This window comes from Homo sapiens, chromosome 1 (assembly GCF_000001405.40).
Source record: "Homo sapiens chromosome 1, GRCh38.p14 Primary Assembly".
Taxonomy (NCBI): domain Eukaryota; kingdom Metazoa; phylum Chordata; class Mammalia; order Primates; family Hominidae; genus Homo; species Homo sapiens.
Window position 1 is genome coordinate 197,491,158 of NC_000001.11, and position 19,864 is coordinate 197,511,021.

At 33.4% G+C, this 19,864-nt stretch overlaps 1 protein-coding gene across 12 annotated transcripts in view; it reads right to left on the reverse strand.

The window, feature by feature from the left end:
- Nucleotides 1-13,590: 13,590 nt before the first annotated feature.
- The window catches only part of DENND1B (DENN domain containing 1B), a 277,403-nt gene continuing 271,129 nt past the window's right edge, over nucleotides 13,591-19,864 (reverse strand). For all 12 annotated transcript variants that reach the window (NR_125340.2, XM_011509248.3, XM_047447711.1 and 9 more), the window contains one exon: nucleotides 13,591-19,815. Coding sequence is in view for 11 of the 12 variants with exons in the window: in XM_011509248.3 (XP_011507550.1) it covers nucleotides 19,303-19,815 (513 nt within the window). In the remaining variant the exon portion in view is untranslated. The remainder of the gene's footprint in view (nucleotides 19,816-19,864) is intronic.

A 19,864-nucleotide genomic window follows, 5' to 3' on the forward strand; every position in this document is an offset into this window, starting at 1 on the left:
CGTTTTATGAAGCTAGTATCACTCTAATACCAAAACCAGGAAAGGCCATAACAAAGAAAGAAGACTACAGACCAATTTCCCTGGAGAACATAGATGTAAAACTCCTCAGCAAAATACTAGCTAACTGAATCCAACAGCATTTCAAAAAGATAATGCATCATGATCAAATTAGTTTCATACCAGGGATGCAGGGATGGCTTACCATACCCAAGTCAATAAACATGATACATCACGTAAACAGAATTTAAAACAAAAACCATATGATCATCCCAATAGATGCCAAAAAAGCATTTGAAAAAAATCCAGCATTCCTTTAGGATAAAAGCCCTCAACAAAATAGGCATAATAAGGACTTAATTCAAATTAATAAATGCCATATATGACAAACCCACAGCCAACATTATACTGAACGGGAAAAAGTTGAAAGCATTCCCCCTGAGAACTGGAATAAGACAAGGATGCCCACTTTCACCACTTCTATTCAACATAGTACTGGAAGGCCTGGCCAGAGCAATCAGACAAGAGGAAGAAATAAAGGGCATCCAAATTGGAAAAGAGGAAGTCAAACCATCACTGTTCCCCCATGATATGATCATATACCTAGAAAACCCTAGGCTCATCCAAAAAGCTTCTAGATCTGATAAATGAATTCAGTAAAGTCTCAGGATACAAAATCAATGTATACAAATAAGTAGCACTGCTATGCACCAACAATAACCAAGCTAGAATAAAATTAAAAGCTCAATCCCTTTTATGACAACTGCAGGAAAAAAAAAAAGGAATATACTTTACCAAGGGGGTAGAAAGAGCTTTACAAGGAAAACTACAAAACACTGCTGAAAGAAATCAAAGGTGACACAAACAAATGGAAACACATCCATGCTCATGGATGCATAGAATAAATATTGTGAAAACAACTACTGCCTAAAGCAATCTGCAGATTCAATACAATTCCTATCAAAATACCACCATCTTTCTTCACAGAACTAGAAAAACAATCCTAAAATTCTTATGGAACCATAAAAGAGCCCACATAACCAAAGTAATACTAAGCAAAAAGAACAAATCTGGTGGCATCACATTACACAAATTCAAATTATACTACAAGGCTATTGTTACCAAAATGGCATGGTACTGGTATAAAAATGGCATGTAGTCCAATGGAACAAAACAGAAAACCCAGAAATAAAGCCAGATACAGCCAACTGATCTTCAACAAAGCATACAAAAACATAAATCAGGGAAAGGACACCCTATTCAATAAATGGTGCTGGGAAAACTGGCAAGCCATATGTAGAAGAATGAAACTAGATCTTCATCTCTCACCTTATAAAAAATCAACTCAAATTGAATAAAAAACTGAAATCTAAAACCTGAAACCATAAAAATCCTAGAAGATAACGTTGGAAAAACTCTTCTGGACATTGGCTTAGGCAAAGAATTCATGACTAAGACCTCAAAAGCAAGTGCAACAAAACCAAAAATAAATAAATGGGACCTAACTAAACTGAAAGGCTTCTGCATAGCAAAAGAAATAATCAGCAGGGTAAACAGACAACCCACAGAGTGTGAGAAAATATTCACAAACTGTGTATCCAAGAAAGGACTAATATCCAGAATCTACAAGGAACTCAAACCAATCAGCAAAATAAATAAATAAATAAAATAAAATAATAAAAATAATAATCCCATCAAAAAGTGGGCAGAGGGCATGAATAGACAATTCTCAAATGAAGATATACAAACAGCCAACAAACATGAAAAAATGCTCAACATCACTAATTATCAGGGAAATGCAAATTAAAACCACAATGAGATACCACCTTACTCCTACGAGAATGGCAATAGTTACAAAGTGAAAAAAACAACAATGTTTGCATGGATGTGGTGAAAAGGGAACAGTTCTACAATGCTGGTGGAAATGTAAACTAGTACAACCACTGTGGAAAACAGTATGGTGATTCCTTAAAGGACTAAAAGTAGGACTACCATTTGTTCCAGCAGTCCCACTACTGGACAGCTACCCAAAGGAAAATAAGTCATTATAGGCAATGACATGCACATGCATGTTTATAGCAGCACAATTCTTTATTGCAAAGATATAGAGCCAACCTAAGTACCCATCAACCAAAGAGTGGATAAAGAAAATTGGGTAGATATACATAGAATACTACTCAGCCATAACTAGGAATGAAATAATGTCTTTCTCAGTAACTTGGATAGAGCTAGAGGCCATTATTCTAAGTGAAGTAACTCAAGAATGGAAAAACAAGTATCACATCGTCTTACTATAAATGGGAGCTAAACTATGAGAAATGCAAAGGCTTAAGAATGATGTAATGGACTTTGGAGGCTTGGGTTGGAGGGAAATTTGGGAGGAGAGTGACAGATAAAAGACCACATATTGGGTATAGTGTACACTGCTCAGATGACAGGTACAGTAACATCTCAGAAATCACCACTAAAGAATTTATCCATGTAACCAAAAACCACCTGTACCCCAAATATTATCAAAATTAATATGAACAAAAACTTAAAAAATAAAACAAGTTCATAAAGTAATACTTCTTCACGTTCCTTCTAAGCAGCAGAATTATTCAGTTCACTCATTTCCATGTGTTTTGACAATCTAAAAGACATTAGAATGATTTTAAAAATCATGAAATATCTTGCATTTGTGCCAAGAACAATACAATTAATTGAAATCAAACATATCATCTAAAATCTTAACCTGGGAGAAAAAAATGTTGGTAGCAGAGAATACTACACGAAACAGAGGACATAGAAATTTCTGAAAGAAGTTGATTATCTTGAAAGATTTTTTGCCACCATCAAGGTCAAAAGAGCAGCAGAACTCTAAAAGACATGTTCTGTTGTGGAGGGAGGTAATAATGGATTGAAAAGAGAGGGTAGGAGAAGACAATTACATAAATACCGGTGACATTTAAAATGTGACAGGATGAGAAAGTTAAAAAAAAAAAAAAGAAGTTCACCCTGTAAGCAAGGTCACCCAAGATAAATTACAAAACAAGATGCCACTAATTAGATTGAAACTCCAACATTGCTCATTATGGTATTCAAAGTATCCAGCATATCCAGATAATATCATGATCTGCCTTATAATGTGCCAAGGGTCAAATTTGGCCAGGATTCTATTAAATAATTTAAATACATCTAGTTTTAAATGACCTCTAAATTCTTTCCTGCCAGATTAACATTTTAAAAATAATTAAATATATAGAACAAACTAAATGTTAGTTGCTTGTATATACTTTTCACTTTGAATTTTAGAATACATAATGATCTTTACTGTTAACACTGCACTTTATTCACTGACAACATTACTTAAAGAAAGAGATTATGATTGGATAAAAAGTTTCACATTGAAAATACTCTTCCAATAAATCAGGAGAAGCCAGACAATATTGATCCTTTGGTTTGTGTAGCTCTTATAAGTGCATATAATGCTTCCCTATAATTTAATTTGAGAAGCTTTACCCATAATTCATGCACAAAACACTAGAGAATTAACTTCCTCCAGGATTTGGAGCTTTAGAAAGAAGTTCCTGATTACTTGCCTGTGTTTCTTTCACACTTTCAGCGTAACTTCAGAGTTAGTTTTAATTGAGACTTTCAATTTTACTATTATTGAACTCAACAGTATTCCTTTTGGCTTTGGTTTTGCATTTCTGATGTGATGTATAGTAAGCCATTTCCAAAGGATGGATAATTTATTTATCATATTCATGGAGAGTAAACAGATCCTTCCAAAGCTCTGCCATCTTGAACTAGTGGTATTCCATGCAATTTCAACACCAAGCTATTGAGTGTCTGCTATGAACCTGATGTTATATTAAGAGCTGGAGATTCAAAGATAAACAAAACAAAATTTGTGTTTTTAAGGGAATAAGTCATAATAGAGTCATAGGAGACTTGCCATCAAGGCCATCAAGGTCAATGTGGATATCAGATTAATTCATGTACATAAAAATCAGTTACTCACTTAATTTTTTTCCTCTGATTCCTAGCAGAGCATCTAGGAGCAACAGACACAAATAAAATATTTGAGCTACCTGTGAAGCAGGGTTTAGGGAAAGCACAAATAGGTAAACAGTCACAAAACCACAGAGAACTGTCACAATAGAAATTATACCAAGAGGGTATGGAATCTTTACCAAGAATATGGGGAAAAGTGAAGTTATAATTATCTGCAGTTGTAGCTTCATTCAACTTGGCATATTCAGAAAACTGCTTGCTTATCTACACTGCCTTTTTGAATTCCATCTTGTCTAAATAATGAGAATATTTTTCTTCAATTTTATGTTTATTGTATAGTCAATCCAAGTTGCTTTATTTTTCTAGTTTTCAAGGAGCAACATTTTATCACATGATTTATTTTTAAAAATCATCTTCCGTGGGAGCCGTTTGCTGTGGTGGTCCGATGTACTCTGAATTTTAAAGTGCACCTACAGAGTGACTTTTCTTTACTTCTATAGGGGGTTTCAGAGTTGCCACTTGTTGTCGACTACATTTTATTGTAATTTATTAGTTTGGGAGTACTATGCTATGTGCATAATAAACAGAATTTATGTACACTATAATCTACTACAAAACCACATGAAGCAAATACTGAAGTTTGATTTTTGTATACAGAATTCTCTGTTTGTTTGTTTCTAGGTTTATTTTTCCATCCAGATCCCTAGGCAGACAAAAGCTTTCTTTGTTAGTTTTCTGGGTCAGAGATTGGAATGCTTCTAGTCCCACCTTAATAGACTAGGCATTCCATCAAGGGTCTTGACACAGAGGTCTTAATTTCTCCTTCATACCTCTTGAGGATCAAATGCTGTATCTGCCGAATCCCTGAGGATATTAATTTGATATTAACTCATAGGAACTATACCCATACTTACCACCTGCCACCTCGTTAACTCACCGATTTGGTTTGTTTGTTTGTTTTGAAGCCTCAATTATTCGTTTTGGGAGACATAGCAAATACTTTAAATATTTTTGGTATGTTTTATCTAACACTCTTGCCCTAATGTTGAAAGTCATTAGATTCTTCCATGCTACAAAAAAAAAAAAAGCATGATTTATTCGTGACTTTGAGTATAGTTTGTATGGAATCTGTATGGAGTGGGAGAAAAGAAGGTCAGTAAGGAAAAATGTTGACATGTGCATTAGCCTTCCTAACGTTACATGGAAATGGAATGTTTATAACTAGACTTTATGTCAATGATGAACTTAAGGAATACATTTTTGCCAGAAAATTTTAGAATGAACCTTTCTTTTTAAACTGGGAGAGATTTCTGATACTGTATTAGTTCATTTTGCACTACTATAAAGAAATACCTGAGGCTGAGTAATTTATAAAGAAAAGGGAGTTATTTGGCTCATCGTTCTGCAGGCTGTACAGGAAGCATGGCACCAGCATCTGCTTCTGGGGAGAGCCTCAGGAAGTTTTCAATCATAATGGAAAGCAAAGAGGGAGCAAGAAAGGAAGAGGGGAGGAAGTCCCAGACTCTTTTTAACAACTACATCTTACATGAACTCATAGAAGAGAACTCACTCATTACCATGGAGAGGGCACCAAGCTGCTCATAAGGGACGCGCCCTCATGACCTGATCACCTCCCACTAGGCCCCACCTCCAACATTGGGGATCACATTTCAACATAAGATTTTGAGGGGACAAACCTCCAAACTATGTCAGATCCCACTCACAAAAGACTAATTGCAGGCCGGGCGCGGTGGCTCACACCTGTATTCCTAGAATTTTGGGAGGCTGAGGCGGGCGGATCACCTGCGTTCAGGAGTTCGAGACCAGCTTGGCCAACATGCTGAAACCCCCATCTCTACTAAAAAGGCAAAAATTAGCCTGACATGATGGCGGGCACCTGTAATCCCAGCTACTCTGGAGGCTGAGGCAGGAGAATTGCTTGAACCTGGGAGGTGGAGGGTGCAGTGAGCTGAGATCACGCCATTGCACTCCAGCCTGGGCAACAAAAGCGAGACTCCATCTCAAAAAAAAAAAAAAAAAAAAAAAAGACTAATTGCCATGCTGATTGCCCTACCACTATAACAACAGGAAATTCAGACAGAATATATGAAACATTGGTTTCAGATGTAAGACAACACAAAGCAAGGACTTTGATCCATGAGAAAAGAGAAATGAGTAAAGTAAGTTCTACAATTGCATGGACTTACTGCCTAGAGGCAGCAGTTATCACAGTTATCAGGCTGCAACAATGTGAGGGGGACCCTTTCAAAGCCTAGTATTCTCACTGAGCTGAAGAGACAGAGATTGTATTTGAAGAGGCCATGGCAGCTAGAATGTGCGAAGCAGAGTAGAGAGAGGATTGTTACAGATATCTACAGAGAGGTCCCAATGAGTCTTTGCCTTAGATCCACAAATATGTGTGAAGAAACTACTCCAGGTCATAAAGACTTATGAGAAAAGTGTAAACAGAACAATTTCCAGTTGTCAGACAGTTGGGAATAGTTTAGTTTTTCATCTGAGGGGAAAGACCTCCTAACATGGGGGTACTGAGAAGAGTTTTCCAATAGATACTGACTCAGTAAAAGGCCTAAGCTAGCTTCACAATAAAGACCACTCTGGACCCATAGTAATAAAGCTTAAAGCAAGCTTTTAAAAGGTAAATCTCATTTGTAAGGAATTTAACTGCATCCCAGAATAAAATGCCAAGACTATTTAAAGCAATACAATGAAATCTGGCATCCAAGAATATTTGGCATCCCATCAAAACTTACTAGACATGCAAAAAAGCAGGATAATATGTCCCATTGTCAAATTTTAAAAATCAATAGAAACAGGCCCAGAAATAACAGAGATGATACAGTTTGCAGACAAGGACCATAAAACAGCTATTACAAAAATTTGGAGATGATATAATGATAAAATACATGGAAGACACACACACACACATACACACAAACCCAGATCGAATTTCAGGAGGAGAAGTATAACATCTGAAATTTAAAAATATACTGGATATGGTTAATCAACGATCACGAGAAACTGAAAAGCAGCCAAAGATAAAAGACACTATTTATAAGGAACAAAGTTATGAATTACAGCAGATTTCTTGTCAGAATCTATGCAGTCCAGAAGACTGTAGAATGACAATATTAAAGCACTGTAAGAAAAAAACCATTAACCTGTAAAAAAAAAATGCAAAAAATAATTTTTCAAAATAACAGAAATGCAGAGAATCTATTGCCAGCAAATTTGCACTACAAGAGACAGTAAAGGATGTTCTTCAGGTATAAAGAGAAATGATGCATATGCAAATACACATCTACAGAAAGGAATGCAGAGTGCCAGAAATGGTAATTGTGTGGGTAAATATGAAAGACAGTCTTTTTCACTTATTAATCTTTAAAGGTAACAGTTTCAAACAATTTTCAAAAAATAATACTGTATTCTACAATTTACAAGATATTTAGATATATATAAGACAGAAATACCAAGGACAGAGTGGAAAACTGGATGTATATCACTATCAGGTTTTTACACTGTATATGAAGTGATATATTTTTAAAGGAAGATCATGATAAGTTTATGATATGTATTTTAAACCTGAGAGCAAACACCAAATAAAATTTTAAAGAGCGATATAATATAAGCCATAGTGATGACAAAGTATAATCATGAGAATCATTCAAGTAATCCAAAAGAGGCAGAAGATAGGAAAAAATAAATAAATAATAAATGGTACAAATACAAAACAAATATAAGTATAGTGAATTTATTCCAATGCATATCAATGATTATATGAAATGTGAAAGACCTAAACAATGCAATTGAAAGGCAAAGATCATCAGGTTGGACAAAAATGGAAAACTCAGTGAAATTCTGTATACAAAAAACCTTCTTTAAATATAATGGCACAGATTGCTTGAATGTAAAAGGGCAATCGTATACCATGCAAACACAATCAAAATAAGAGTGATGTTGGCTATAATTACATTAGAAATATTTTTAAAATAAGGAATATTACCTTGGATAAAGAGGAAAATTTCATAGTGATAAACAGGGCAATTTATCAATGAGGGTAAAATCAAAAGTGTGAACAGCCTTAATAAAAGAACTTCAAGCTTTATAAAGCAAAAATTGATAGAGCTCAAAGGAGAAATAGAAAATTTTACAATTCTACTTGGAAATTTCAACACTGCTCTCAACTGATAGAACATGTAGACAAAAAAATTAAAAATGATATGAATGACTTGAACATTATCAATCAAATGGATGTCATTATTTATAGAACACAAAAGAATATATATACTTTTTTCAATGCACACAAAATATGCATCATAAAACAAGCCTTAATATATTTAAAAGGATTTAAATCATGCATAATATGTTCTTACATAATCTAATTAAATTAGAAATTAATAACAGAATGACATTTGAAAAGATCTCCAAATGATAGGAAAGTAAACAACACACTTCCAAATAACCCATAAGTCAAAGGAGAAATGTTAAAAGAACATATGTATTTTGATCTGGCAGAAGAAGAAAGGTTAAATATCAGTATCTCCTTAAGACAAAAGAAAAAGAAAAGATTAAACCTAAAATAAGCAGAAGCAGGGAAATCAAAATGTTAAGCCCCTAGGAGAGAGAGTGAAAGTGACTATTTAATGAATAGTTTCCTTTTGGGGTGATGAAAATATTTCAGAACTAAATAAAGGTGAGCTTGCACAACACTAATGTACTAAATGCCACTGAATTGCACACTCTAACATGGTTAGGTTTATATGCTAAGTAAATTTTACCTCAATAAAACAAAATGATAAGAATATAAAGAAGTGATATAGAAACTGATTTAAAAATTGAGAAAACCAATGAAACCCAAAGTTAGACACAAATTATTAATATCAGAAATAAAAGAGGGAATATAGTCACATACCCAACAGATATTAAAAGAATGGTAAAATCATATTTTGAACAACTTAATGCAAGTAAATTTTAAAACTTAAATTAGACAAATTTCTTGATAGATATAAATCATCAAAGCTCACCTGAAAATGAAGAGATGAGCTGAAGAGTCCTCTATCTGCTAAGTAATTGAATTCATAGCTTATAACTTTCCCTTAAAGAAAATTCCATGCCCAGATGGCTGCACTGTTGAGCTAAACCAAACACTTAATGAAAAAATAATAATAATTCTACACAAAATAGTTCAGAAACTAAAAGGGGAGAAAAATTTCCCAAATCATTCGATGAGATTTAGGTTAGCTCCGATACTAAAATTGTAACAGCACTAAAGAAAACTACACACCAATATTTCTCATAAATGTAGACACCACAATTCTTAACAAGGTATCCGAAAATTGAATGCAGCAATAGATTTTTTAAAATAATACACTATGATTAAGTTGAATTGATCCTAGGAGTACAAGGTTACATTCACATTCAAAAGTCAAGTGACATTCTGTTTAGGTAAAAATTTTTTAGAAAACAAAAAGCATAAATGATGAAAAATAAAACTGATAGACATTCTCAAATTAAAAACTTTTTTGTAGACACTGTCAGGAAAATGAAAAGGCAAGCCACAAACTGGAGAAAAGGTTTGCAAAACATGTATCGGGGACTTTTATCCAGAATATTTTTTTAAAAAATCCAAATTTTTACAAGTCAGTAATAAGAGAAACAATACAAAATGCACAAAATAGTTGAATATACTCTTCTCCAAAGAAGATCTATGAATTGCCAATAAGCACATGAAAAGATTCTCATGATCTTCGGTCATAAGAAAAATAAAAATTAAAACCAAAAGGAGATACCACTACACACAAACCAGAATGGCTGAAATTAAAAGGATTGACAATACCACCATGTGAAGTGAAAAAATTCATTTATGTAAAATTCTTGAAAAGGCGAAACTATAGTAAAAACATATCAGAGATGGCCAGGGATTAGGATTGAGAGGAGAGGCAGCTGCAAAGAGCACAAAATAACTTTTAGGGTGAGGAACTGTTCTCAGTCTTGATGTAGTGGTGGTTGCATGACTACGTAATTGTCAACATTCACTGAATTATAGTTATGAAATGGGTGAATTGTGATGAATGTAAACCACATTTTAATAAAGCTAATTTGAAAACATATGAAAGATGCACCTTGAAAGGAAAAGCATCTTCACATAAAACAATAGTTGTGGGTGTCAGGAAAGCAACTTCATAATCCTATAAAAATCTTGAAATCAAAACACCCAAGGACTTTTAGTTCACCTTATAATTGCACATTAAGAATTAATTTTGAGACCCCACAACAATCCCTAAGAACAGTATTCCCTTATTTTTATACAAAATTATCCTTTGCCCAAAATATGTGTATGAGCACCCATGTCTTATCTATAATTATTGATAAGAAATATTGGTTACATTTTTCTAGTAGAAGGTTTTTAAAAGATACCAATTACAAGTCTTATCAATTCTAATTTGCTTAGAAATTCAAATGATTTTTAACAGTTTGTCAACAAGCGTGTCATATATATATTTACATATATATTTACATATATATTTACATATACACACACACACACATATATATATATATACACATATACACACACACACACACACACACACACACACCTATAAGGTAAAGCAGAAAAGCAGAGCATTTCTCCCTAACATCTGTTTTACAAGTTGGGATTTTTGCCTAATGGGTTGTATCCAACTTGGACGTTTATCAAATCTAAGAAAACTTAGCTCTTTTTCAAAAATATATTTTAAGTATTAGATTTTGGAGAAAACAGAATTAAATACTAAATGAATGTTATATATTATATATATGTATTCATAAGATGTGTGCTATTTATATCTAGATATATATTATATATCTAGATATATATTCATAAGATTACATATGTACATATTCATAAGATAGATATCTAATGGATATATATCTGGAAATAGATGATAGATAGATAGATGATAGATAGATAAATAGATATCTTAAAATTAGTCCCTAAATTAGAACTGGAGTTACAAAAAGTAATTTGTATATTTTAAATACATTATTTACAATTAATGTTTAAATGGTGTTACTAAAAAACACATAAATCTGAAATACACTCCATATTTAAAGTAGGTTGATTATAAAATAACAAAACTGAAGAATAAGTAGTTTAAGTGCTGCTCTTGAACATGAGAAAAACAACTTTGTAGATGACATCTGTGGATATTCTGCAAGAGATCTTTAGATGTTCTCAGCAGCTTTAAGTGTCAATAATGGCTCCATATGAAAAAATTCACAAGTTATGCCTTTGTATGTCCTCAAGCATGCTCCTATAGTTTTTAATATAGTTATACAATAATCCAGGTAAAACTCCCCACTCCACCAACTAATATGCGCAAATACAATTAAGAGAAAGAGAGAGGAGATAGATGCCATGGAGAACATGTATATATAAGACAGATTATTTGAGATGAGATTATAAACTATGCTGGAAAGTGTGGAGAAGGAAAGAAAGAGAAAGAGGAAGGAAGGAAGAAGAGGAAGGAAGGAAGGAAGAAGGAAGGAAAGAAGGAAGGAAGGGAGGGAGGGAGGGACTGAACATTAATGCAATCTCCCAAAAAGATTTAGGAAATTCTGTACTCAAGATAAAAACAAACAAGCAAATAAGAAACTTGCATAGAATATTTTGTCAAAAAAGGATTGTCCAATACTTGTAGGAGAAAGTTGAGATAGAAAAGAAAGTTCTGTAGGGAATTTATGATAGTCACGCCATTTGAGTTTGGCCCTGTACTTCTGTCTAATAGCAAGGGGGCTAAAGCCCAGCTGTGGGGTTCAAATCCCAGCTTGGTCATTTCATGCTATGAGACATTAAGGATATAATTTATCCTTTTTCTATCTTGGTTTCCTCAACTCTACAAAAGACTAATTAAGTACCTATTCCAGAAACTCTAGGAGCATGGTCCAGGCATTTGTTTTGTGTTTGTGTGCATGTGTGTGTTTGTGTGTGTGTGTCTGTGTGTGTTTTCTGTATTTTTTTCTTTAAGAAAAAGATCTCCAGGTAAATCTAATGAAAGACTAGGTTTGGGAGCCTGTGGATGAGATAAAAGTCTAAGATTCTATAATTATATTTTGTGGTTGTTGTATTCGACTGTTCTTGCATTGCTATGAAGAACTACCTGAGACTGGGTAATTTATAAAGAAAAGAGGTTAACTGAGTCACAGTTCTACAGGCTGTACAGGAAGCATGGCTGGGGAGGCCTCAGGAAACTTACAATAATGGCAGAAGGCAAGGGGAAGTAGGCACGTCTTACATGACCAGAAGGAGGGAGAGAGAGAAGTGGGAGGTGCTATACACTTTTAAACAACCAAATCTCATGAGAACTCTCTCACCATCACAAGAACTGCAAGGGGGAAATCTGCCCCCATGATCCAGTCACCTCCCACCAGGCCTCTCCTCCAACACTGAGGATTACATTTCGACATGAGACTTGGGCAGGGACACAAATCCAAACTAAAGCAGTTGTACACACCAAACCACCATGAATTCACACTAAATTAGATACTTAGGAATATTTTCTCTTTCAAACTATATTGCAGCTGCTATATACATAGAAGTTTTTCAATAAATATTGAATAATTCATTCTAAGAAGACACTTATTTTAGAGAAATAACGCTTTGGGGGCATGAAGTAAAAAGGCCAAATCAATGGCAGAATCTGGGGAATTTTTATTCATCTGGAACCTTCCACAATATACTCTTATTTTTGTGCTATTAATGCACTATTTTCCATATATGTACAAAATTGTATGCATATATAATAATTCATTGTTACTTCTAGGAAAGGAAATTCCCAGACCTACTACCATAATACTACTCTACGTAGGTTATTTTATTTGTATGTAAACACAAGCTGAGATTTTTTTTCTGCATCTATAAAATGAAGATGTGACCAGGCCTCTCATACAGAGACACTGAGGGTAATGAGACTAATAATCCCTTTGATGGTGGCAGGCAAAGTTTTCACAATCAAAATCAACAAAAATAGCGGAATCTTAGGCTTGCAGGGATAATATTTCTTTTCTTATTGTCAGGCTTTTGCTTCTTCTATATAAATAAGAAAGGTTCAGCATATTAATCCCAGATATTCTGCACCCAGAGGGAAACGTTGTGCTTATTTCAATAGGAATTTGACCTTTGCTTTAGGTGAAACCATCAGAGCTCTTGGATGAGAAGCTCATCTTTCTGGTCCCTGGAACATTGTTCATGTACACTTGACTACATTTCATCTCTGTCCTTAAACCTTAAGTGGGGGTCAATAAACACAGTTGTTTGACTTGGATAGTACAACTCTTATATTCTTAGTGACATTATAATTACTTAACAATTCTCCTATGACTTTAGAGCCTAATAAAATCCGTTGACTATACATAAAAGAATAAAATAAAGTATACCTCTCAGGTAGGCCTGTCAGAAAGATGCAGGCTTAAATTTACACTGCAGCAGTTACAAAGCTCAGAGATAAAGGTATTAGGGTTCTCACAGCAGTCTAGCTAGAACACTATTGGGGGATAACTGGGCAATTGTAAAAGAAGAGTCATCACCATGCAAAGTTTAATTGTGACCAATTTTATTTTAGAACTGCATTTTTGGGTGTTTTATGGTAATGTAGATTTTATTCAATATTTATTTTTGCATATTTTTAAAAAAATTCCCAAAGCGATGCTTTTATACACATCTTCCCAATAGTAGTCAAGTTTGGAGATGATTTATACTGTAGCCTCAAGGATGCAAGAACAATGAAGTAAAATCACAATTCTGGGTAGGTTTTTACAGATATCTGCTACCAAGACGAGCAAAAAGCTCAGGGTTTTCAGTCCTTTTAAATAGTTTTTCATCTAACGCAAGAGAAATAAACTTTGGAAAAGTTCAATTTTGAACCCCTCCTGTGGCTTTTACATAAAAAAGCTTTATGCATTTATGTTGTAGGACTCAGGCAGTTCATATTAGTTGCTGTTTTAGGCACTGCTGTAAGTACTAAACTACAACAGACTCAAGAAATCCACTTTTTCAAATATGATTATTAAATGGCTCTCAAAATAACGTTATGGAAGTTACACTGTCAGAAGGATGGTGACTTGACATGTGATGCACTAAACATGCAGGTTTTAAATTCTGCCTTGTCCTAAACATCATATAATCAACCAAAGTGTAGATTTGATAATGGACCTCAACAAGGCTCACATTTGAGAAATGAAATAACAGAGATGAATAGACTTATAGGTTCATCATATCAAAGAAGTAATCATTTGTGACTTTCCAATATTTTAAAATAAAAGATTGAATAACTTTACTTCATTCAACTAAAATGTGGCTTGAAAAAAACATAGCATTCTGGATATAAAGCATTCTGTTAACATTGCTCTTCAGTACCTTGCTTTATTATTATTTTTTTGGTATGTCTGCATGTTGCATCCAGAGCTACAGATTTTCCACAGTGCTTTTCTGCCTCATTCAAGTATAATAAAGTAGAAATCTATAGAAGCTCTAAGATTAAACAAACTGTACATCATACAAAAAATTAATTTACACAGTCAAAAAGTATTGGCAATGCCCTTTATAAATCTTATCAAAGATTCATCACAAAGGATACTACAATCCACATATGTAATCATCAGCATACAAATGCCATTTTGATTTAGGTGGTGCAGAACTGAGTATCTGTTAAATGTACACATGTAGAATCAGCAATTTGTACCGTATATATTTCTTTTAAAGTAACAGTATTGTCAATCTAATCTAAGGTACAGGATTTTCTTATTGCATATTTATTGTTGCTGAGGCAGTTAGTTATGATACAACAACACAATATCCATAATAATTTTAAATAAACAAAAACATTTCTCCTGGCAACAATATAAAGAATATATTTTTTTCTGAAATCAATGAGAACATTGCTACATACAGATTTACTCAAATACTGAAAAACATGACCTTAAGGCATCTGCCAGAAAAACAGATGTACATATTTATATGAACTAAGTTATGCAAGAAAAATTATTGCACGAAATCCTATTTTCAAAATAAAATATTCTTCTGTCTAAATGTATATAATTCCTTATTTCTTCATCAAATCACGTTAACTGACTTGCTCAAAACCACTCTGCCTCTTAAATAAGGTGTAACAACATACACTAACAATATTACTGGGTTTGACCCAGGAACATTAGTACTGACATAGGGTTTGTAAAAACTATTTCCTACATTAAGAAGTGCTTTGGAGGAAACTAGATTTGGGGATTCATTTTACATTCTTAAATATTCTGATTTACAAATATCTTAAGATTCAGGGTCTTTTATGTCAAACAAAATGGAATTTGTATAAGAAAATTTATTCATGAAAATAATCAGTCTTTTCCTGAAAATCCACATTTTCTACAAGAGAATGAAGGTCTATTGATTATGAGACATTCACAGTGTTCTCCTCTTGATCAGGAGTCTACTTGTTCACCTTAATTAAGAAACAATTCATTAGAATTCCTGAATCCTATTATTAGGATATTCGCATAGAATAGCACTAGTAACAGCAGTCACATAGTTTTTATTTAGAAGGGAGAGACTGTTTCTACAGAACGCTGTTATTCATATAAAAATAGTAAAAATTGGATTCCCATTAACATGCATCCACACCTTCAGTTACTCCTAAACTGAGTACAGTGGCTCTAAGTATTGAAAAGGAGCATCATTCCATTATAGAGAGCCCTGTGCAGCCTGGTTATCTGATAATAAGATAAAGACACTCAGTTTCTAAAAGAGTCTCTAAATCTGCCCCTTAAATGTGGGTATCTTAGCAGCATAATATACTTAGCATAATAATTGAGAAAGTTAATGAAATTAGAAATGATACTATGGTTCATACTTAGAGCATGCTTTAAATTAAGCAGCCAGTTTTTGTTCTTTTTTTTTGAACTTTTTGTGTGTTAGAATCTCAGCTAATAACTTCCAGGCAAAACACATTATTATTATTATTATTATTATTATTATTATTATTATTATTATTTTAATAAAAATTTGCAATTCCTTTTCCTTTGTTCCTTCAGAGCAGGGACTATGTCAGTTATTTTATTTCCCATATCCTCAGTTACTGTACCCTGCATATGACTGGTACAAAAAGTCAATGAATAGTTTTTAAATGAACATGTTATTAACTAATTTTAATTAACTGAAAAAATAATCATGCTATGTTTTGGTGCTTTTCTAAGACACATTAAAGTAGGTAATCATCAAAAGATACCACTTAGTAATATTTTCACTTAAAAAAATAGCTCCTAAATTCCAATATTATTTCTCTATACCCCTGAAATACCACGGATGCAATATCTAAGGGTAAAAAGAAAAAAGTGAGAGTGGGATTCAGAAAGAACCATGACTCCATTGCAGGCCAGATAAAGACTATGTACCAAGGCCAAAAGTCTTTTTAGTTTATACAATTCTGTTGTATAACAGGTGTTGCTTCTTTGAAAAATAATTTCAAAAAGCAGAGGAACTTACAAATATTTGATTTAGTTACCATAGAAAATATGGGCACTGTAGAATATAACACTTTCCTTTATTTCGGAACTCACCCAGTTTAATTTCATTCTCACTATAACCACCATAATACTAGGAAGTCTAAGTTTAAGAGCAGACTTTGAATATTCAAAATTTTACTGGTTTGAAATACAAATACTTGGTAGTATTATTCTGGATGTTTTTAAAGAATAACATGCAGAATTGTTTTTCTGCCTTTGTTTTTAAAATAGAATAAAACTGCTAATTTTGCATTAAAATAAGGCACAAATCACTTTTAAATACCTTGAGACAATTATTTATGAGTGGCTAAATATCCTCAAAGCAACACAGTATTATAACCAAACACCTTGAAAGGTGGCTGAAAAGTAGAACAAAATTTGGATTTCTGAAGCCGTGATGTTGATAAAGCAAATGGACTAAAAACCAAATTTGACCCATGCTACACTCACAGTTGTTTTTCAGACTGAGTTCTGAAAAAAACAAACAAAAAACCATACCTCATTTCAAAATTCATATTAAAATGCTGATTTGCATTCTTTTCACAAATTATGAAGGAATATTTGCCAAGCAGATTAACAACCAGAGTAACCTTTTTTCCTTCTGATTTAAAACAGCTCTTTTGCTATATGGACTTCTTCCATTATAAACTTCAGTAAAGTAAGTTGTAATTTTGTAATAAGCTTATAAAGGCAAAATTTGACAAGAACCTTGAGACTTCTGTATTAAAAAATAAGGATTAAACATTGTTTTCCTTAATGTATACAGTCCATACTTATAAGGGAAACAAGAATTGTCTTCTTATATAATCATAATGAATAAGTGTCCCAAATAACACATATCCATTTAGATTTTGAAACGTAGGTTTTAAAAAAACTTGGTCATTTTCTTTAAATTATTTCAAACCCTCTTCTAGGATTTTAGCTGAAATTATATTCTTTCAATAAATATTTAGAATATAGTCTTATTGGGGTTCTTTAATGATTTCTTGAACATCTTTTCTAAAAAGAAATGTAAAAAAAATCATGATTGGGGATGTATAAAGTGGATATACTGAAAATGCTAATAACAATTTAACCATACTATCACTGCTTTTTTCCCTGATTGTGCCTGGTAATCTAGTCTATCATGAAGTAATTAGTACATGATTCCTTCTCAGATGAATTCCAAAGCTCAACAGTGAATTTGAGAAAGAAGAAACAAATTTTCTATACAGAATTCCCAGTTATTTATGTAGATACTTCTCTGCCCTAAAGAAGGGGAATTATGACTCCTCACTCCTGCATGTAGTGACTTCCTTCCAAAAATGACAGCATGGAAAGGGCAGGAAGAACTTTAGAGTGACAAACGCTACCTCAGCCAGGTTATCAAGGTCCCTGTCAGCATTCACAAATCATGTTGACAGTACGTACCCTTGATATGACCTGATGAAAATGGCACTTTACTTCTGTGATCATCTCCTCAAAACCCACAATCCCAGTCTAATCATGAAAAAAATACCCAACAAACTCCAAGAGAGGAGCATGCTACAATTTATCTGACAGTACTCTTCAAAGCTGTCAATGTCATCAAAAATAAGGAAAGTCTAAGAAACTGTCACAGGCAAGAGGAGCCTAAGGAGACATTCCAACTCAATATAGTGTGGTATTCTGAATAGGATCTTGATGTGGAAAATGGATATTAGGAGAAAACTAAGAAAATCTGAATAAAGTATGGAATATCAATATTGGTTCACTAATTGGGGCAGATGTACCATAGTAACGTAAGATGTTAGTAACAGGGGTAGATGGGAACTCTCTGTACTATCTTTGCAATTTTTCTGTAAATCTAAAACTTCTAAAATACAAAGTCAATTATTTTAAAAAGTAAATTTGAGATGATGATATGAAGCATTTTGATAGAGAATTATTAGTTAAAAAAAGATTTTTTTTTTTTTTTTTGTCAGGACGGTTTATGTTGTATTTGGCTTTCTTGGGGTGGACCCCTAAATAGCAAAGGCATACAGAGAGACTGAAAACTCGTTAGAGTGTCTCATTTGTAAACAGAAGTCATTAACTTCACATTGTAATTCAGCACTTCCTATATTTCACTGAATGAAAGGTAAGTGTATATTTTTATACTTTTTGGAAAACATGGCTATAGTGCTTTATATAAGCAAATTAAATATTTCCATTAAGAGAGCTTTTTAATCTTGAAAAGATGAATTTTGACCTTGATTTGATGAATAGAAAAAGGCATTATTGCTCTGCAGAACACTAATAACTTATCCTTCAAACTTTATACATACTTTCATACATTATTTAAGTATGCTTAAAAAACAGCTTTAAGATTAAGGCAATTAGTGGGTTAACAGTTTCATCAGCTTCAGGCTAGTTTTGATAAGTTTTGATATCTTGATCAGTTCATGCTCAACCAGATTAGTATAGTAGCTACTGGTTATGTGCATGGGTTACATATGCATTCTTAGCTTAAATAAAATAAACGGCATTAAGCACCAAACACTGGGAAATCTCATGGTCAATACATACTTTAAACATACATACACACTAGTACCTGATTTAAAAGCACAGTAGAATTCGCTTTATATTTAAAAATCAATGCATTTCATATATCCTCGAAATGAACAAGTGAGAAAAATGTTGCAAATGCAAAAAAAAATTTAAATAGTATGAGTTGCCATTCCTACAAATAATTCTGTTTATTATACAGATTGCATTGAATCTCAAAATGTCTCCATAGAAGCTTGGATGCAAGATTTAAGTTTGGTTTCCATTTGTGTTTTTGTCTGAAATGTTCAAGCTTTGTTGGAAGTCAGATGTCATATGACATAATGACACTACTTCATGGAGCAGTCCAATATCTTCTGAAGTCTCTTTGGCTTCTTTCCCTTCTTTCTCCCAAGGAACAAAAGTCGATGAATGCCGCCCAAGACCGGGTATAAGCAGATCATCTGAAATCTGGCTTAGTGTTTCCCTCTTTTCTGTTTTTCCTTTATCAGTCTGGGAAACTTCAGGGGAAGTGAGTTGGAAATCCAGTCCTGAAGTAGGGTCACTCACATTGTCAGCACCGAGGTGCTTGTTACTGTTTTCCTCTTTCAGGATAAACAGAGAATCTGTCAAACCACTAGAGGAAACCCGCTTCCTAGGAGATGGAGGGAGGTGTTTGCCATGGAGGGCACTATCGTCTTGCCCAAGATTCCACTCTGCTTGGTCACCAGAACCACCACAGAGGAAAGCCAGGTTATTCTCACTAGGAGCATTAGATTTATTCTGAAAAAAAGAAGAAACAACAAACTCAGAAAACTTTTAATAAGCATTA